General features: G+C 34.8%; 1 protein-coding gene and 1 pseudogene across 14 annotated transcripts in view; one reads left to right on the top strand and one right to left on the bottom strand.

The window, feature by feature from the left end:
• The window catches only part of USP15 (ubiquitin specific peptidase 15), a 155986-nt gene that overhangs the window by 63006 nt on the left and 74481 nt on the right, over positions 1–18499 (top strand). For 11 of the 14 annotated variants that reach the window (NR_147078.2, NR_147079.2, NR_147082.2 and 8 more), the window contains one exon: positions 2463–2524. The exons of 2 other annotated variants lie outside the window; for them this stretch is intronic. Coding sequence is in view for 4 of the 12 variants with exons in the window: in NM_001351159.2 (NP_001338088.1) it covers positions 2463–2524 (62 nt within the window). In the remaining 8 variants the exon portion in view is untranslated. Of the gene's footprint in view, positions 1–2462; positions 2525–11756; positions 13283–18499 lie in introns of those variants that run through there. One more of the 14 variants, NM_001252079.2, reaches the window with a different exon arrangement.
• Positions 10705–10788, bottom strand: RNU6-595P (RNA, U6 small nuclear 595, pseudogene; annotated as a pseudogene).

Raw genomic sequence — 18499 nt, forward strand, 5'->3', positions numbered from 1 at the left:
AATTTTTAGTAAATGCCCACTATATGTCAAGAATTGTACTAGGCTGTCAAAATACAGTGGTTTTCAGATTTATTTTAGTCATTATATTCTTAAGAGAAATCTTACAAAATCCAATATGTATTACAGTTAAAAGGGAAATGAAGCTGATAGAAGCTTGAAGTGTGGACCTTGGAAATCCACTGATTAGCCAACACCGCCCTTTTATGTAGCCAGCTCTCTCTTTCTGTCTTCCAGTAGACATAACCTCTCTCCTTGGTTTTCATCCATTAGGCCTTGAGGTAGCTCCAAAAGTACAATTTGAAATCTATAGAATTCTTTATTTAAACCTTTTCAGCAATCCTCTGAAATGAGTGTTACTCTTTTCATCGTGTACATTAGAAAACTGAGACTCAGAGAAGTTAAATAATTTGATGTTCTTGATAGGTATGTATTTATCAGATGGCAGATGAGAAAATAATTTAATAAGATTAAGTATCCTTAAGGACTTGACCTTTAAAAACAGGAATGTTTCAAAGAATAGTCATTAAATTTTTCAGACTTTATAATAATTCTTCAGCCAGAGAAGATAAGTGACATAAACCCTCTCCTGGACCTTTTTTTTTTTAATACTTAGATTGAAAGTATCCTTACTAGAAAATAAAACAAAGACATATTATTGAAGAGTTTGCCTCCCAAAATGTGAAGCATTTCTTCTCTCCTTTTTGTGTGGGTTTAATTTTAATTTTGAAATCTTTTCAAAAATATTTTTATTTGGAGTTAAAGTTTTAACTATAACAAAATTTTATGCAGAAAATGATGCACTTGAATAAAGGACTGAATTTTAATCTTTCTGATGGTCTTCAGCATTAGTATTTGTGGTTTTTAAAACATGGAATTTTAAGTATAAATACTGTTAGGAATTAAGGCATTATGGTTAAATAATTATATTAAATGCATAACTTTGAAATCTTCTATAGCTAAAATCTCTTGTTTTAAAACTGATTTAAGTCCTCAAATGATTGTAAAGTTTATATGTATATTTATACATATAGTTAATATGTAACTGTTACTCTTGTATAAATTGCAGTAAAGCAAAACATTCTGGAGAAGTGAAAAATCACTCTCTAAATTCTACTTTGTAAATCTTCATAAATTTATAAAACTATATCAGAATGAAAATCAGAAAATTGAGACAGTGATTACTTGTCTCTAGTAGGTAGGGAGAGGAAGGTGATCAGGAAGGGATCAGTATATTAGGTACATGGTACATTTATTTTTTATATGGTACAAATACACTTTTTAATGTGTGAAATAATAGATTTTTTAAAGCTAACTTTAATATTTTAATTAGCATCTCTTTTAACAACAAGATTTCATGAATTTTTTTAAAATCAACATTTTATTGTTACATATACTCTGAAACATGCTTACATTTTACATAGCTAGGCTCTAAATGCCAATTTATAAATGACCTGGAAACATATAGTTCACAAAAATATATTACTAAGTGCATGTAGAGTAGTTTATGAAATTGCAACTTTAAGAAAAAGACTTAATGAAACAGTAAATGAAATGTATTCAAATTTATAATGCCTTGGATTTATTTCACGTCATATTGTCTGTATTACAGTTTTTCAATGGAAATTGTAGATTTTAACTTTTTATTGGTATTATCGTATATTTCCTTTGCTAATTTAATTATTTTTGCTAAGTTTTTCTTCTTTGCACAGACTAATCCATAGCAAAAACTAGAAAGACTTATTAGACTGGACGATATAAGGAAAGATTTTCGGGTGTTTTAAAATAAAGTATAGCTCTCCCTAAGCCTATACTTTTTATTTATTAGAGGTGATTTCTGTCTGCCTCATCCATGCTGTAACAGAGAACTTCAGTCTGATTCTCATAAATGGGACTCTATCATTTGTATATTTAAAGATTCTATAATTTCCATTGTGATAATGTAAATACACACTAATTTCAAAACCCCAAATAAATTCTACATAATCTGTAATTTGGAATTATCTGTGTCGCCCTTCGTCTGCATTTGCATAAAAATAAGTTACCCAAGATCCTATGTAAGTATGTTTAACAACTGCAAACATTTATTGACCATCTGTTATTTACAGAGTTCTCTGTTCAACCTACAAATACAAATAGAAAATATATTCTCTAAATTCAAGGAATTTATATTCTGTTTACTTGGTTTAAGTTTTCTTATACTTAATGGAACCAATAGTTTCTTTACAGTTTATCTTCTAGGATTCCTTCTCACTATCATTACTGATTTCTTGTTATTTGAGGTCTTTTAGTCTCACCTGCCTAGCTTTGGAATCGAAATGCAGATTACCTGTTCACCTTGTCTACTGTTTTCCTTTAAATAATCACAGAGTTACTTTAGTTTCTTAGTTTATCCAGCTATCTTCTAAAGTTATTTTAACTTCAGAGTTATGGAAAAACACCCTTTTATTGTGTCATATTTGCAGGTATTAGTGATAGAACAGAAAAATGAAGATGGAACATGGCCAAGGGGTCCTTCTACTCCTAAGTAAGTGCTCCCACTTCTTATGGCTTATTGTATGATTTTGAAGCCCTTGATGCTAGATAATCAAATCCACAATGATAGAAGAACCTAGATGTGTATTGCAGAAATTCATGCCTTGTTTATATTTGAGTATTTTGTTCTTAGTATACAAGCTATCTAAATTTGCTCTTAATTAATATGTTACTATTTTAAAAGCCTCCAATTCAAATATCTTAAGGCATAGTATAAATGTATGGTATAAATGAGAAAGTTGCGTTGTCTGATACAGTCAAATCATTAAACATTTGTTTAATTTCTTGAAGCTTTTTCGTGGTTTTTAAAAGTATCTTAAAATATTTCTTTATCAAAATGAATCTGATGTGAAAGTAATATATTTATTCAAATGAAAAGTTTTAGAATAAAAAAGAACAAATAGAGGTAGAGGAGTATATGAGGTATTTTTGAGGGTAAATGAAAGAAGAATTAGGAATCTTTTTATCTGTTTTAGAACTAATAGATCTACACTCCATTATCAAAACACAAGGCCAGTTGTGTTTAAATATACAGACTTCTCAAAGCTCTAAGAAGTAATATGGTACATGTCCCTCCATTACTGTAATGTTTCTGTTTCTGCAAAAGGACACTTCTTTATAATCAAACACATTAATATTTTTTCAGCAAATATTCACACTAAGTGGGATAAATAAGGACTATAAATAGCATTATATCAGTTCAGGTTAGGTTGCCACCAAATGAACTGTGAAAAAATTTTTAAGTTTTTGGAGCTTTGGAATTTCACATGTTCTGATAAGGGATTGTGAACATATATTTTGAAATTCTTAAAATAATGATATTTTTAAAAAACTAATAACAATTTAGTACATTTTAACCAAGTGAATAAAAAAATCTGCTACTTTATTTGATTTAAAACTACAATGCCCTCCGGGTGCAGTGGCACATCCCTGTAATCCCAGCACTTTGGGAGGCGAAGACAGGCAGATCAAGAGGTCAGGAGTTTAAGACCAGCCTGGCCAACATGGTGAAACCCCATCTCTACTAAAAATACAAAAATTAGCCAGGAGTGATGATGCATCCCTGTAATCCCAGCTACTCGGGAGGCTGATGCATGAGAATCACTTGAACCCAGGAGGCAGAGGTTGCAGTGAGCTGAGATCGTGCTGCTGTACTTCCAGCCTGGCCAACAGAATGCGACTTTCTCCAAAAAATAAATAAATATAAATAAATAAAATAAAACTACAATGTACCTTTTATAAGTGGTTTTCTATCCTTTTTTATCTTACGTGAAATTTTTTTTTCCCATTTAAAAATATCATGAGAAGGCACCTAAATATGTTAATTACATGGAGGTGATTTTTATTCTTACCCTACTTAGTTGGATGCAGTACAAGGGTAGAACTTAGTATAAAAGTAGAACTTTTAAGAAGATGTTAATATTAAAAGCATGTGGGTTGAATTATGGAGATTTCATAACTGATGAAGGTTTAGATAGGAATATTTTTTGTGAACATTTACTTTTAGTCTTCAAAGCAGAACCACTGTTGTTTCCTAAATGTTTAGATTGCTATGTACTTGCTATATCTTTAAGTTATTTTTGAAATTACAAAATTGTTTGTGGATTAATATTAAAAAAAACCCATGAGTTCTAAAGATTGAGAAATCTTTTCTACTTAAAATGACTGATTTTTGCCCAAAAGATGACTAATTTTATATTTTCTTTTATTCCCTAATAGCACAATATCATTTTTATTTATTCCAACAACTTTAGTACTTGGCTTTGTGTGAAAGAAAACAGAATTCCCTATGTAATACCCAACACACCATACTCATGCAATAAATATTGGTGAATACAGGTGCTGTACTAGAGATGACAAAAGTACAATTAAGAGTCCTATTTTTCACTGGATCTACTAGTTGAATAAGGATGCCATATACTAAAGCATAGAAAAGTTAAATATCCATTCCCTATAAAATCTAAGAAATACTATGCAGTAATATGTCATAAATTGCCAAATAATAATTTACTGTAATACAGAAAAAGATCTGCACCTATGTATGAAAAGATTCTCAGAAAACTAAGAATAAAGGGAAATTCTAACTTGATACATCCTGTGCACCTCAAGTCTATAGCAAAAGTTACATTTCATTGAGAAATTTTGAGCACAATTTAAGTAAGAGGAGAAGATAAGAAAGAAGAAATAAAGTTCACTATTCGTATATGATATAGTCATTTGTATAAAATCCAAAACAGCAAACTACTAGAACTGAGAAAATTCAGCAAGGTTGTCTAATATAAGATTAATTTATAAAAAGCAGTTGTTTTTTCTATACCGAGAGATCAGCAATCTTTTTTAAATGTTTTCAGCTTTGTGGGCCATATGGTCTCTGTCATAACTATAACTGCTGATGTAGTATGAAAGCAGCCTTAGACATCATGTCAAGACATGGCAATGCCTGTGTTCCAATAAAGCTTTCTTTGTAAGTAGATGGCAAGCTTGGATTTGGCCTGTGAGCCATAAATTTCTAACCCCTGCCATTTATCATGAGAAACCCACTTAGAAAATAGTCTAACAAAAATTAACTTAATTAAAAACGCATAAAACCTTCATGGGAAAAAAAAAATCTAAGTTTATTAGAAAATAAAAGATTGTTATGTGATATATGGCTTAACCTAGTAATGCCTGTTTTCTTTAAAGCACATCAGTGTCTCCTGTTCAAAATTTTTTTTTTCCTAGAAACTTGACAAATTCATTTTAAAGTTAGCATAGACCAATACAGGTCCAGAATTAGCTGAGTCAGTTTTGACAGAAAGAGGAAGGAAGGAACACTAGACCTACAAGGTAAATGAGAGTTACTGTAAAATTATACTAATAAAAACAACATAATGCTAGCAAAAGAAAGGCAAATAGATTGGTATAAACTAGTAATCTCAGAAAGATTCATGTATATTTGACAACTTGGTATATGATGTGGCACAACTAGGTAGTGAGGTTGCTTAAAGAAGATGATTATTTAGATTTAGTAGGAGTACTGGCTATTTGGAAAAAAAAGCTAGATCCCTACTTTCAACTTTATATGCAAAGGCTAACTCTTGAAGGATTAAAGACCTAAATAAGAAATATAACACTTATATTTAATGAATTCACTTATATTTAGTGAATATTCACTTATATTTAGTGAATAGTAGGCTGGGCATGGTGGCTTATGCCTGTAATCCCAGCACTTTGAGTGGTCAGGAGTTCAAGACCAGCCTGGCCAACATGGTGAAATCCTACCTCTACTAAAAATACAAAAATTAGCTGGTATGGTGGTGGACACCTGTAGTCCCAGCTACTCGGGAGGCTGAGGCAGGAGAATCACTTGAACCCAGGAGGCGGAGGTTTCCGTGAGCCAAGATCGTGCCACTGCACTCCAGCCTCGGTGACACAGTGAGACTCTATCTGAAAATAAATAAATAAATAAATGTGAATAGTAGAAATTTTGGAGAATAACTACATCATAGGGATCATAGAACATAATGTTCAAATTTAGTAGATCTGATTACATCAGAATTAAAGATTTCTGTTAAAAGAACTATACACAGAGTTAAAAGTCAGATGTCAGCTTTGGAACTTTTAAAACCTAAAGGGAATAATACCTGTAATATATTAAGAACTCCTAAAAGTTAACAGAAACAAAGAACAATAGCTTTTAAAAAAATAGGTAAAAGATACTAACAGACAATTTAAATAAAGGGTAGCTAAGTGCTAACAGGTAGATGAGAAGATAGACAAACTCACTAGTAATCAGAAAAAAATGAAAGTAAATGAGATACAATTTTTCACCCATCAAAATGACAAATATTTAAAAGTTTTCTGATGCCAAGTATTGGGTATGGTGTAGATATCTGTGTACTTACGATGTGAGTGTAAACTAATATTGTCATTCTGTAAACCAGTCAATAATTAAATCAGAAGTGTTTAATCCCTCTGACCCAGCACTCAGAGGAATTTTTAAACAGATCTTTGAGGATATAATCTTTGTAGCTGCATAGTTTGTAGTAGTGGGGATTTGGAGATAGCCTAGCTAAATATCCATCACTGGTAAATAGAGCAAATAAGAAAAATGAAATGGGAGTAACAATGGTGAGATCTTTAAAACTAGATGAAACTTTAAAACATACAGTTGAGAGAAAGAAACAATGAGATTCATAAATATTTAAGAAAATAGAAAAAGCACAGTAGAAGGAAATCGGAGTAGAGATAATAGGAGGAAAGAGGAAACAAGTTTGAGGAAATATCACTTGCTAAATTTATTTATATTATATTTCTATAGATGAAGCAAGGATGATACAGATTCTTTTTTCTGGATGAAGCCTGGCTTGAAAAAAAAACAAATGGGGCTGGGCACAGTGGCTCATGCCTGTAATCCTAGCACTTTGGGAGGCCGAGGCAGGCAGATCATTTGAGGTCAGGATTTCAAAACCAGCCTGATCAACATGGTGAAACCCCATCTCTACTAAAAATACAAAAATTAGGCATGGTAACAGGCGCCTGTAACCCCAGCTATTCAGGAGGCTGAGGCAAGGAGAATTGCTTGAACCCAGGAGGCAGAGGTTGCAGTGAGCCAAGATCACACCACTACACCCCAGCCTGGGTGATAGAGTGAGACTCCATCTCAAAAAAAAAAAAAAAAATAGAATGCCTCTGTGTTCATTGAAAAGCACATTTTAGGCTGAGCAAGGTGGCTCACACCTGTAATCCTAGCATTTTGGGAGGCCAGAATAGGAGTATCACTTGAGCCCAGGAGTTCAAGACGACTCTGTGCAACATAACAAGACCCCGTCTCTACAAAAAAAAAAAAACAAAAATTAGCCAGTTATGGTGGCATGCACCTGTAGTCTCAGCTACTCCAGAAGCTGGGGTGGGAAGATTGCATGAGCCCAGGAGTTCAAGGCTGCAAAGAGCTGTGATCACACAACTGCACTCTAGCCTGTGCAAAAGAGTGAGACTCTGTCTCCAAAAAGGAAAAAAAAAAAAAAAAACAGAAAAGCATGTTATAAGCACATGATGTTAGCTTAGGCAAATTTAACTCCAGCACAGAACACGTAATTTTAAGTCCTTAGGAAGGACTTCAAGATATTAAGATACAGAACAGTTTATACTCCTCAAAATTCTCACATTTGCCAGAAGACAACCCCTGGCCTTCAAGATGGCATGAAAATGCTAGTTCTGATATATATCACTAACCTGGAATTTGTCCATAATGTTGCATAGCACATAACCAGTTCCTAGCTAGGGTGTCAAACACCAAAGAAAGATAATTAAAGCTGTAATATGGTGATAGAAAGAAGAATCACTGGTAGAATTTATTAAAACAGTTTCCTGGGCCCCATCCTCAGAATTTCTTATTATGTCTGGGTGTGGCTCATTTCTAATAAGCTTGCAGGTCACACCAATGCTGTTGGTCTAAGGATGACACTCAGAAATTTTGTAGGTGATGTTTATTGACATTTACTAGGTGAACCACATAGTGGCATCCAGGGTTCCCACCCCAGACCAGCAAAATATAAATATAGTTAGCCAAGGAATTTGCATTTTAAGTACTTCATATGAACAAGAAAATAGAAGAATATTACCACAAGTAGGCACACGTGAAACCACATGTTAGTATTTTGTCTGTTCTATACTGCTGAAAATAGAGGAACCTACTTAGTGCTCTGATGTCCTATTGTATTGGCCCCATTTTGATTAGTTTTGAAACTGTGTCTTCAGCTGAAGCATAAATTTTTGGGCTCCTTGAGAAGAAATGCTAAATATTCAAAAAATGTTAAGGGTAAAATTTAATTTAAAACATGTAGTCATTTAGTTACAAAAAAAATATGTGTATATGCTTTTAATCAGCACCTAAAACAACTCAAAGTCTGTATTAGAGATCTAAGAACCTACCCAAAAAATACTCACTCAAAAGTCTTCTGTTCAAGCACAGTGGCTCACTCCTATGATCCCAGCACTTTGGGAGGCCAAGGTGAACGGATCACTTGAGGCCAGGAGTTTGAGACCAGCCTGGCCAACATGGTGAAACCCCGTCTCCACTAAAAATACAAAAATTAGCCAGGGGTGGTGGCGGCGCCTGTAGTCCCAGCTACTCGGGAGGCTGAGGCCGGAGAATCACTTGAATGCTAAAGGTGAAGGTTGCAGTGAGCTGAGATCGCGCCAGTGCACTCCACTTTGGGTAGCAGAGCAAGACTCTGTCTCAAAAAGAAAAAAAAAAAAAAAGTTTTCTAACTGAATTTTTCTACTAGATATCAACAAAGAATTTGAAATTTTTATTTTTATGTTCATGCTGCATTTTTAACACTACTTGTTTTATCAGGATTTGCATTTCTTATCTAGTTTTTAAGTTTGATTTCTTAAACAGCCTCTTAAAAACATGATCTTTTCTAATGATACCTTAGAAAAAGTTTTCCCCCCTAGTTTTAAAAATTCTGTAAAATTTCATTTCTTTTTTTTTAAGGATGTTAGCATTGGGTGGATAATCTAGTTGTTCTATTGCAGACGTGTAGCTAGTAAAATCTTGGATTTCTAAAAAATGATTTTACAGTGGAGTCATTATAGAAACCTGGGGGTTCCTAAAGAGAAAATTTGATTTAAATTTATTCATTTTCATTGATTAGTCAAAAAGTATTGTCAAAAGATATGTGCTTAAGTATTGGGTGGAAAAAAAATAAGAGTCATTGATGATTTTGAAGAGGTGATTTTTCTTGGACTGGAAAACATCCAGAGAAAAATGTACTATCGTCCAGAATAGGACATGAGTGGCAGAAAGAAAAATCAAATGGAAAACCATGCTAATAGCTCTTACTCATACACTGTCCCTCTGCCATTTGTGGTGTTCTGATTAAGGGAATTCCAAATTGATGACTGAAACACTATAAACTTAATTTCATGACACAATAGTATTTTCACAGCACTGTCTTCTTGAGTGCTCTGCTTGGAGAGAGGAAGAACTTTATAAATAAAACCATTGCATACTACTTTTTTGGTTGAGACAGATAGTAAGCACTTAGGTGATTCTGCAATATTCTGTTTTTATTTTTTTTACACTATCTTAAACGTCTTTAGAAATTTTTAGAGAGTATTCAATCCCTGTTTGCATTTATAACTGCGAAGCAGCTAAATGGATTTGGAAATGATGCATAGACTCATTTGGTTAAAAATTATTAAAATACATGTTGGCTGTAGCCATTCTTTATTCCTTGTCATTCAGCCAGTTCATACATTTCAGTAACACCAATCTTCAATTTGAAATGCAATCTGTGAACCATAAATCTAGAGTGATACTCCAAAATCTATAATTTGTTGTTGTTGTTGTTTTAAGACAGGACCTCACTCTCATTACCCAGGCTGGAATGCAGTGGAGCAGTCACAGCTCACTGTAGCCTCAAATTCCCAGGCTCAGGTGATCCTCCCACCTCAGCCTCCCAAGTAGCTGGGACTACAGGCACACCACCACACCTGGCTAATTTTTGGGTTTTTTTGTTCTTTTGTTTGTTTGTTTTGTTTTGTTTTTATAAAGATGGGGTTTCACCATGTTGCCCAGGCTGGTCTCCTGGGCTCAAGCAGTCTGCCCACTTCAGCCTCCCAAAGTGTTGGGATTACAAGTGTGAGCCACCATGCCCAGCTGTTATCTTTTTAAAAGACATTTTGAATCCTTAAATTTCCTTTTATGCCTTTTTTTATGTTGTTATTCTCATTAAGAAACAGATGTAGAATGGTGTTTTCTGAGACTTTAAAGTTGGAGGTAATGAAATAGCCAAACAAAAATGCTTAGGTTACAATTAAAGGGAACTGCAGTATGGAGTACTGAGAACTGCAGGTATGGAGTCATATTCCTATAAATGGGAATATAAGCATATATAAATTATCTAACCAAAAATGTAGAGACAACATACCAAAACCTTAAAGAGCATCCTGAGGTAATGAAGAAGGACAGTTGGCATCAAATAGAATAATCATGAAGGCTCAGGAAAACTTGTGCTGATTAAAACAAAAAATCCCTTATTTTTTAGGGATACATACATACTGTTGTGTTTTCAGGTGAAATTATGGGTGTCTAGAATTTGCTTCAAACTACTCCAGCAAAAGAGGGGGTCGGAGGGAAGCTGAAGGGATTATAGAAAAAGTAAGAATGGTAGAATGTTAATTTTTGAATACCATCCTTTTGTAGTGGCCATACTAATCTTCTCTGTATCGTTCCAATTTTGGTATATGTGCTGCTGAAGCGAGCACTAGAATGTTATTTTTAAAGCTAAGTTTCTGATATTAGGTACATGAGGGTTAATGTATGTTTCAAAATTTCTGTAATAAAGTTTAAAAATGGGTTGCAAGTTTTGGTGCTTAGATTCATAATTGGCTGAAAAAATTATTGTAATTTCATTTATTTAAAATGGAACATTTTGTGTTATCAAATATTATATGTAAAAGTAAGCAGTCAAAATAAGGAAAAATAGAGCTATGAAAAACAATTTATATATAGTATAAATCTACTTAAACTCTCTTTTGTGTATCTTTAAGTACCTAACACCCTACCTGGCATATAGGAAGCATACAGTAAATGCTGTTGAACTGAACTAATCTGTATCTTACAACAGTAAAAGTGTTTAATTTTTTAGGAGATTTAGAATTTTCTTTTTCTTTCAGAACTTGTCTTAGAATGTTGATTAGAAATGGAGAGTGTAATGTTGGTCTTGTTTTAGTTACTAAGCTAATTTTTGTTTTATGATGTTAGGTTGTATGAAGTTACGTTGTTTTACAATGTTGGGTTTGAAAATATAAAAATCTTTAAATAACTGTTTTGCTGTCTCAACGTTCAGACTTAACTTCTCTGTATTTTGGTTGCTTAATATGGTGGTAGATTTCCATGAGTGTTAAATGTTTAGTTGACTTACTAAAAGCAAGTTATGTTTTTCTATTGAAGTAAGAGGCTCAACTTAGCCTTGAATTGCATGTTTTTAGTTGAAACATATTGGGCATAGGGAAATTCAGATACTACAAACTTCCATTTGTCAGGAGTAAGGCTGAATTTTCTGTCTTCATGAAACCACTTCAGCTAAATGGAAGTCTTACCTTTTTCTGTCTGAGGGCACGATATGTTACACCTAGCCCAAACTGGCCAAAATTAGTTTAATTCTAGGTAAGTGGTTTGATGTCTAGTTAATGTATGATATTCTTAGCACTTTTTTTTCTCCTTTTTCTAGAAAGCCACTAGAGCAGAGTTGCTAGTGAACAGTTTAATTTCCACATACGTCACAGAAAGAGAGCTAAAGGGCTCTGGTTATCATCCACAGACTGACCAGTCAACCCCTAAATAACCTGATATTAACTCCACAAATGTTAGCTAGATTGGACCATGTGTAATCTGAGTCAGAAGTCGGAATCAGAAGAGATAAATGATGCGTTATCACTCAACAGTAATGTCTGCAACAGTATTGTAAAATTGTTGTACTTTACCTGTCGACCACATCCATCCTTAGCTCTCTGATCACCTTACTATTTAAGGACAGTCCCTCTACTCTACCTGTAGTATTTATCTCAATGCTTCCTGGTCCTTGCTTTTTCTTTTATTATCTCCTCTCTCCTACATATATAAATGCCTAGCATAGTGCCACACATATGGTAAACACCAGTTTATTATTTTTATTTCTTTTCTAATGTCATCTTCCCCCTCAGCCTATGAATATAAACACATCTTCATCTTTAAAACCAAAAACCATATACTTCCTCCATTTACCATCCTTAAGCTTTTTTTTCTTTGACAGCCACCTACATTTAAAAGGCTATACTTAATGTTGCTTGCCACCCATTCAGGATTTAACAAAGTTCTTATTTGTCTTTCTTTTAACCTAGTTTATTTGACCTGTCTTTAGTATTTCTTTTTGATAACCATCTTCTAAAGAAATTCTCTGAATTTGAATGCATGATACGACCTTTTATGCCAAGGACTTTGCCTCTCTGACCAGTCCTTTGTCTGTCTAGCTCGGTTCCTCTTTAGGGTTGCCACATTTAGTTTTGCAAATTGTGCACAGCTCTAGGAGGCATCATTCATATCATATGTAGTCTATGTGATAGGCCCTCCTTGGCACGGTGCAGTGCAGCTTCACTAACTGTTTGCAGCAGCTCTACTCAGACCTTAAATGCATTGACATTCACTAAATTTCTGTCAGAAGACCTCTTTTATCATACCATAGTAGGTGTTCAAAATTAGGTGATTCTATGCTAATCCTCTCCCCCAGCTCAAACTGACACAAAATATGCCATTCTGTATTTCTAGACTAGACCACTTTTCTGAATTCCAGATTTTTCATAAATTTCATGTAGGACTCACCACCTCAAATTAAACCAAATCTTTTTACCCCTCCTTCTCCCATCCCCTCAACCTAAACTGTCTTCATTTCCTGTATTGCCTATTTCAAGTACCATCCAAGAGCCATCCTGAGTTCCTCCTCCAGCCTTTCTTCTCTTGTCTAGTTAGTCAGCAAGTCTTGCAGATTCTGCCTCCTCACCTGAAGTTTTCAAACAGTACCCCTTTACATTCTTGAAAATTATTAAAGATCCAAAGAACTTCTGTTATATGGGTTATAGCTGTTAATATTTGTCATATTCGAAATTGAAATAAGATTTTAAGGTATTTTAAAATAACAGTACAAAACCATTGTATTTTGACATGAATAACACTTTTATGAAAATAACTATATTCCAAAACAATAAAATTACCAAAAAGTTGCATTGTTTTTTATTTTTGAAATTTCTTTACTATCTGACTGAATAGAGGACAGCTAAATTCTTGTATATTCTTCTGCATTTAATTTATTGTAATACAATGTTTGGGTTGAAGTACATGAAGCAAAATCAGCCTCACACAGATACATAGTTGAAAAGGAGTATTTTCAGATCATTAATACTACATCAAAACTTGACTAGTGGTGGTTTAAGTCTTAAAGTTAAATGATAGAATCTGAAACCATATCAATGAACCTTTTATAGTATTAAAATCTTTCAAATGTAAATTTCATGCATTTTGGTCATTTGGGAAATATTCACGGAGTTATGCAGATCTTCCAAATGTTGACACATTTTATTCTACAATTTTTTTCAAATCACATTTTTTAAAACATCACCTATCTTATGAGAAACGCCTAAGTATTGGGAAGCTGTCAACTTTGTGGTGTCAGAGTCAAGTTTTCCAAGATTCTAATTCTTCATCGAAAGCCCAAATTTTATCATTGGCTGCAAATACATTGTTTTCCTTAAAGACACAGCCTTCCTTCATTCATTTTTCAGAAAACCTCTGCTTGATAGCTGTATTAGTCCATTTTCATGCTGCTGATAAAGACATATAGGAGACGGGGCAATTTACAAAAGAAAGAGGTTTATTGGATTTACAGTTCCACATGGCTAGCGAGGCCTCACAATCATGGTGGAAGGCAAGGAGGAGCAAGTCACGTCTCAGAGCTTGTGCAGAGAAACTCCCGTTTTGTTTTGTTTTGTTTTTTGTCTTTTTTAAATTTTATTTTATTTTAAGTTCTGGGATACACGTGCAGAATGTGCAGGTTTGTTACATAGCTATGCATGTGCCGTGGTAGTTTGCTGCACCTATCAACCCATCATCTAGGTTTTAAGCCCCACATGCATTAGGTATTTGTCCTAATGCTCTCCCTCCCCTTGCCCCCACCCCCCAACAGGCCCTGGTGTGTGTTGTTCCCCCTCCCTGTGTCCATGTGTTCTCATTGTTCAACTCCCACTTATGAGTGAGAACATGTGGTGTTTGATTTTCTGTTCCTGTGTTAGTTTGCTGAGAATGATGGTTTCCAGCTTCACCCATGTCCCTGCAAAGGACATGAACTCATTCTTTTTTATGGCTGCATAGTATTCCATGGTGTATATGTGCCACATTTTCTTTATCCAGTCTATCAGGATGGAGATTTGGGTTGGTTCCAATTCTTTGCTGTTGTAAATAGTGCTGCAATAAACATACATGTGCATGTGTCTTTATAGTAGAATGGTTTATAATCCTTTGGGTATATACCTAGTAATGGGATTGCTGGGGCAAATGGTATTTCTGGTTCTAGATCCTTGAGGAATCGCCACACTGTCTTCCACAATGGTTGAACTAATTTACGGTCCCACCAGTAGTGTAAAAGCATTCCTGTTTCTCCACATCTTCTCCAGCATCTTTTGTTTCCTGACTTTTTAATAATCACTATTCTGACTGGTGTGAGATGGTATCTCATCGTGGTGTGATTTGCATTTGTCTAATGACCAGTGATGAAGAGCTTTTTTTCATATGTTTTTGGCTGCATAAATGTCTTCTTTTGTGAATTGTCTGTTCATATCCTTTGCCCACTTTTTGATGGGATTTTTCTTTCTCATGTAAATTTGTTTATGTTCCTTGTAGATTCTGGATAATAGCCCTTTGTCAGATGGATAGATTGCAGAAATTTTCTCCCATTCTGTAGGTTGCCTGTTCACTCTGATGATAGTTTCTTTTCCTGTGTAGAAGCTCTTTAGTTTGATTAGATCCCATTTGTCAATTTTGGCTTTTGTTGTGATTGCTTTTGGTGTTTTAGTCATGAAATCATTGCCCATGACTGTGTCCTGAATGGTATTGCCTAGGTTTTCTTCTAGGTTTTTATGGTTTTGGGTTTTACATTTAAGTCTTTAATCTATCTTAATTTTTTATAAGGTATAAGGAAGGGGTCCAGTTTCTGTTTTCTGCATATGGCTAGCCAGTTTTCCCAGCACTGTTTATTAAATAGGGAATCATTTCCCTATTGCTTGTATTTGTCAGGTTTGTGTAAGATCACATGGTTGTAGATGTGTGGAGTTATTTCTGGGGTCTCTGTTCTGTTGCATTGGTCTATATATCTTTTTTGGTACCAGTACCATGCTGTTTTGGTTACTATAGCCTTGTAGTATAGTTTGAAGTCAGGTAGTGTGATGCCTCCAGCTTTGTTATTTTTGCTTAGGACTGTCTTGGCTATACAGGCTCATTTTTTGTTTCACATGAAATTTAAAGTAGTTTTTTCTAATTCTGTGAAGAATGTCAATGTCAATTCAATGGGGATAGCATTGAATCTATAAATTACTTTGGGCAATGTGGCCATTTTCACAGTAGTTCTCCTTGAAGAGGTCCTTCACGTCCATTGTAGGTGGTATTCGTAGGTATTTTATTCCCTTTGTAGCAGTTATGAATGGGAGTTCACTCATGATTTGGCTCTCTGCTTGTCTATTTTCGGTGTATAGGAATGCTTGTGATTTTTGCACGTTGATTTTGTATCCTGAGATTTTGCTGAAGTTGCTTATCAGGTTAAGGAGATTTTGGACTGAGACAATGGGCTTTTCTAAATATACAATCATGTCATCTGCAAACAGAGACCATTTGACTTCCTCTCTTCCTATTTAAATACTCTTTATTTCTTTCTCTTGCCTAGTTGCCCTGGCCAGAACTTCCAGTACTTTGTTGAATAGGAGTGGTGAGAGGGCATCCTTGTCTTGTGCTGGTTTTCAGAGGGAGTGCTTCCAGCTTTTGCCCATTCAATATGATATTGGCTATGGGTCTGTCATAAATAGCTCTTATTATTTTGAGATATGTTTCATCAATAGTTTATTGAGAGTTTTTAACATGAAGGGATGTTGAATTTTATTGAAGGCCTTTTGTGCATCTATTGAGTTACTTATGTGGTTTTTGTCATTGGTTCTGTTTATGTGATGGATTACTTTTATTGATTTGCATATGTTGAACCAGCTTTGCATCCCAGGGATGAAGCTCACTTGATCATGGTGGATAAGCTTTTTGATGTGCTGCTGGATTCGGTTGACCAATATTTTATTAAGGATTTTTGCATCAATGTGCATCAGGGATATTGGCCTGAAATTTTCTTTTTTTGTTGTGTCTCTGCCAGCTTTTGGTATCAGGATGATGCTGGCCCCATAAAATGAGTTAGAGAGGAGTCCCTCTTTTTCAATTGTTTGGAATATTTTCAGAAGGAATGGTACCAGCTCCTCTTTGTACCTCTGGTACAATTTGGCTGTGAATCAGTCTGGTCCTGGGCCTTTTGTGGTTGGTAGGCTATTGATTACTGCCTCAATTTCAGAACTTGTTATTGGTCTATTCAGGGATTCGACTTCTTCCTGGTTTAGTCTGGGGAGGGTGTATGTGTCCAGGAATTTATCCGTTTCTTCTAGATTTTCTAGTTTATTTGCATAGAGGTGTTTATAGTACTCTCTGATGGTAGTTTTTATTTCTGTGGGATCAGTGGTGATATCCCCTTTATCATTTTTATTGTGTCTATTTGATTCTTCTCTCTTTATTCTTCATTAGTCTAGCTAGCAGTCTATCTATTTTATTTTTTTCCAAAAAACCAGCTCCTGGATTCGTTTATTTTTATTTTTTGAAGGGTTCTTCCTGTCTCTATCTCCTTCAGTTCTGCTCTGATCTTAGTTGTTTCTTGTCTTCTGCTAGCTTTTGAATTTGTTTGCTCTTCCTTCTTTAGTTCTTTTAATTGTGATATTAGGGTTTCAATTTCATATCTTTCCAGCTTTCTGATATGGGCATTTAGTGCTATAAATTTCCCTCTACACACTGCTTTAGCAGAATCTCTGGTACATTGTCTCTTTGTTCTCATTGGTTTCAAAGAACTTCTTTATTTCTGCCTTCATTTTGTTACTTACTCAGGAGTCATTCAGGAGCAGGTTCTTCAATTTCCATGTAGTTGTGCCATTTTGGGTGAGTTTCTTATCCTGAGTTCTTACTTGATTGCACTGTGGTCTGAGAGACTGTTAGGATTTCTGTTCTTTTGCATTTGCTGAGGAGTGTTTTACTTCCATTTATGTGATTGATTTTAGAATAAGTGCCATGCGGTGCTGAGAAGAATGTATATTCTGTTGATTAGTGGTGAAGAGTTTGTAGATGTCTGTGAGGTCCACTTGATCCAGAGCTGAGTTCAAGTCCTGAATATCCTTGTTAATTTTCTATCTCATTGATCTGTCTAGTATTGACAGTAGGGTGTTAAAGAGTCCCACTATTATTGCATGGGAGTCTGAGTCTCTTTCTAGGTCTCTAAGAACTTGTTTTATGAATCTGGGTGCTCCTATATTGGGTCCACATATATTTAGGATAGTTAGCTCTTCTTGTGGCATTGATCCCTTTACCGTTATGTAATGCCCTTCTTTGTCTTTTTTGATCTTTGTTGGTTTTATGTCTGTTTTATCAGAGACTAGTATTTCAACCCCTGCTTTTTTTTTTTCCTTTCCATTTGCTTGGTAAGTACTCCTCCAACCCTTTATTTTGAGCCTATGTATGTCTTTGCATGTGAGATGGGTGTCCTGAATAAAGCACACCAATGGGTCTTGACTCTTCATCCAATTTGCCAGTCTATGTCTTTTAATTGGGGCATTTAGCCCATTTATATTTAAGGCTAAATATTGTTATGTGTGAATTTGATCCAGTCATCATGATGCTAGCTGGTTTTTTTGCACATTAGTTGATGCAGTTTCTTCATAGTGTCATTGGTCATTATATTTTGGTGTGTTTTTGCAGTGGCTGGTACCAGTTTTTCCTTTCCATATTTAGTGCTTCCTTCAGGAATTCTTGTAAGGGCTACCTGGTGGTGACAAAATCCCTCTGCATTTGCTTGTCTGGAAAGGATTTTATTTCTCCTTTGCTTCTGAAGCTTTGTTTGCCTGGATATGAAACTCTGGGTTGAAAAATCCTTTCTTTAAGAATGTTGAATATTGGCCCCCACTCTCTTCTGGCTTGTAGGGTTTCTGCAGAGAGATCTGCTGTTAGTCTGATGGGCTTCCCTTTGTAGGTGACCTGACCTTTCTCTCTGGCTGCCCTTAACGTTGTTTCCTTCATTTCAACCTTGGAGAATCTGACGATTATGTGTCTTGGGGTTGATCTTCTCATGGAGTATCTTAGTGGTGGTCTGTGTATTTCCTG

This window comes from Homo sapiens, chromosome 12 (assembly GCF_000001405.40).
Source record: "Homo sapiens chromosome 12, GRCh38.p14 Primary Assembly".
NCBI classification, from domain to species: domain Eukaryota; kingdom Metazoa; phylum Chordata; class Mammalia; order Primates; family Hominidae; genus Homo; species Homo sapiens.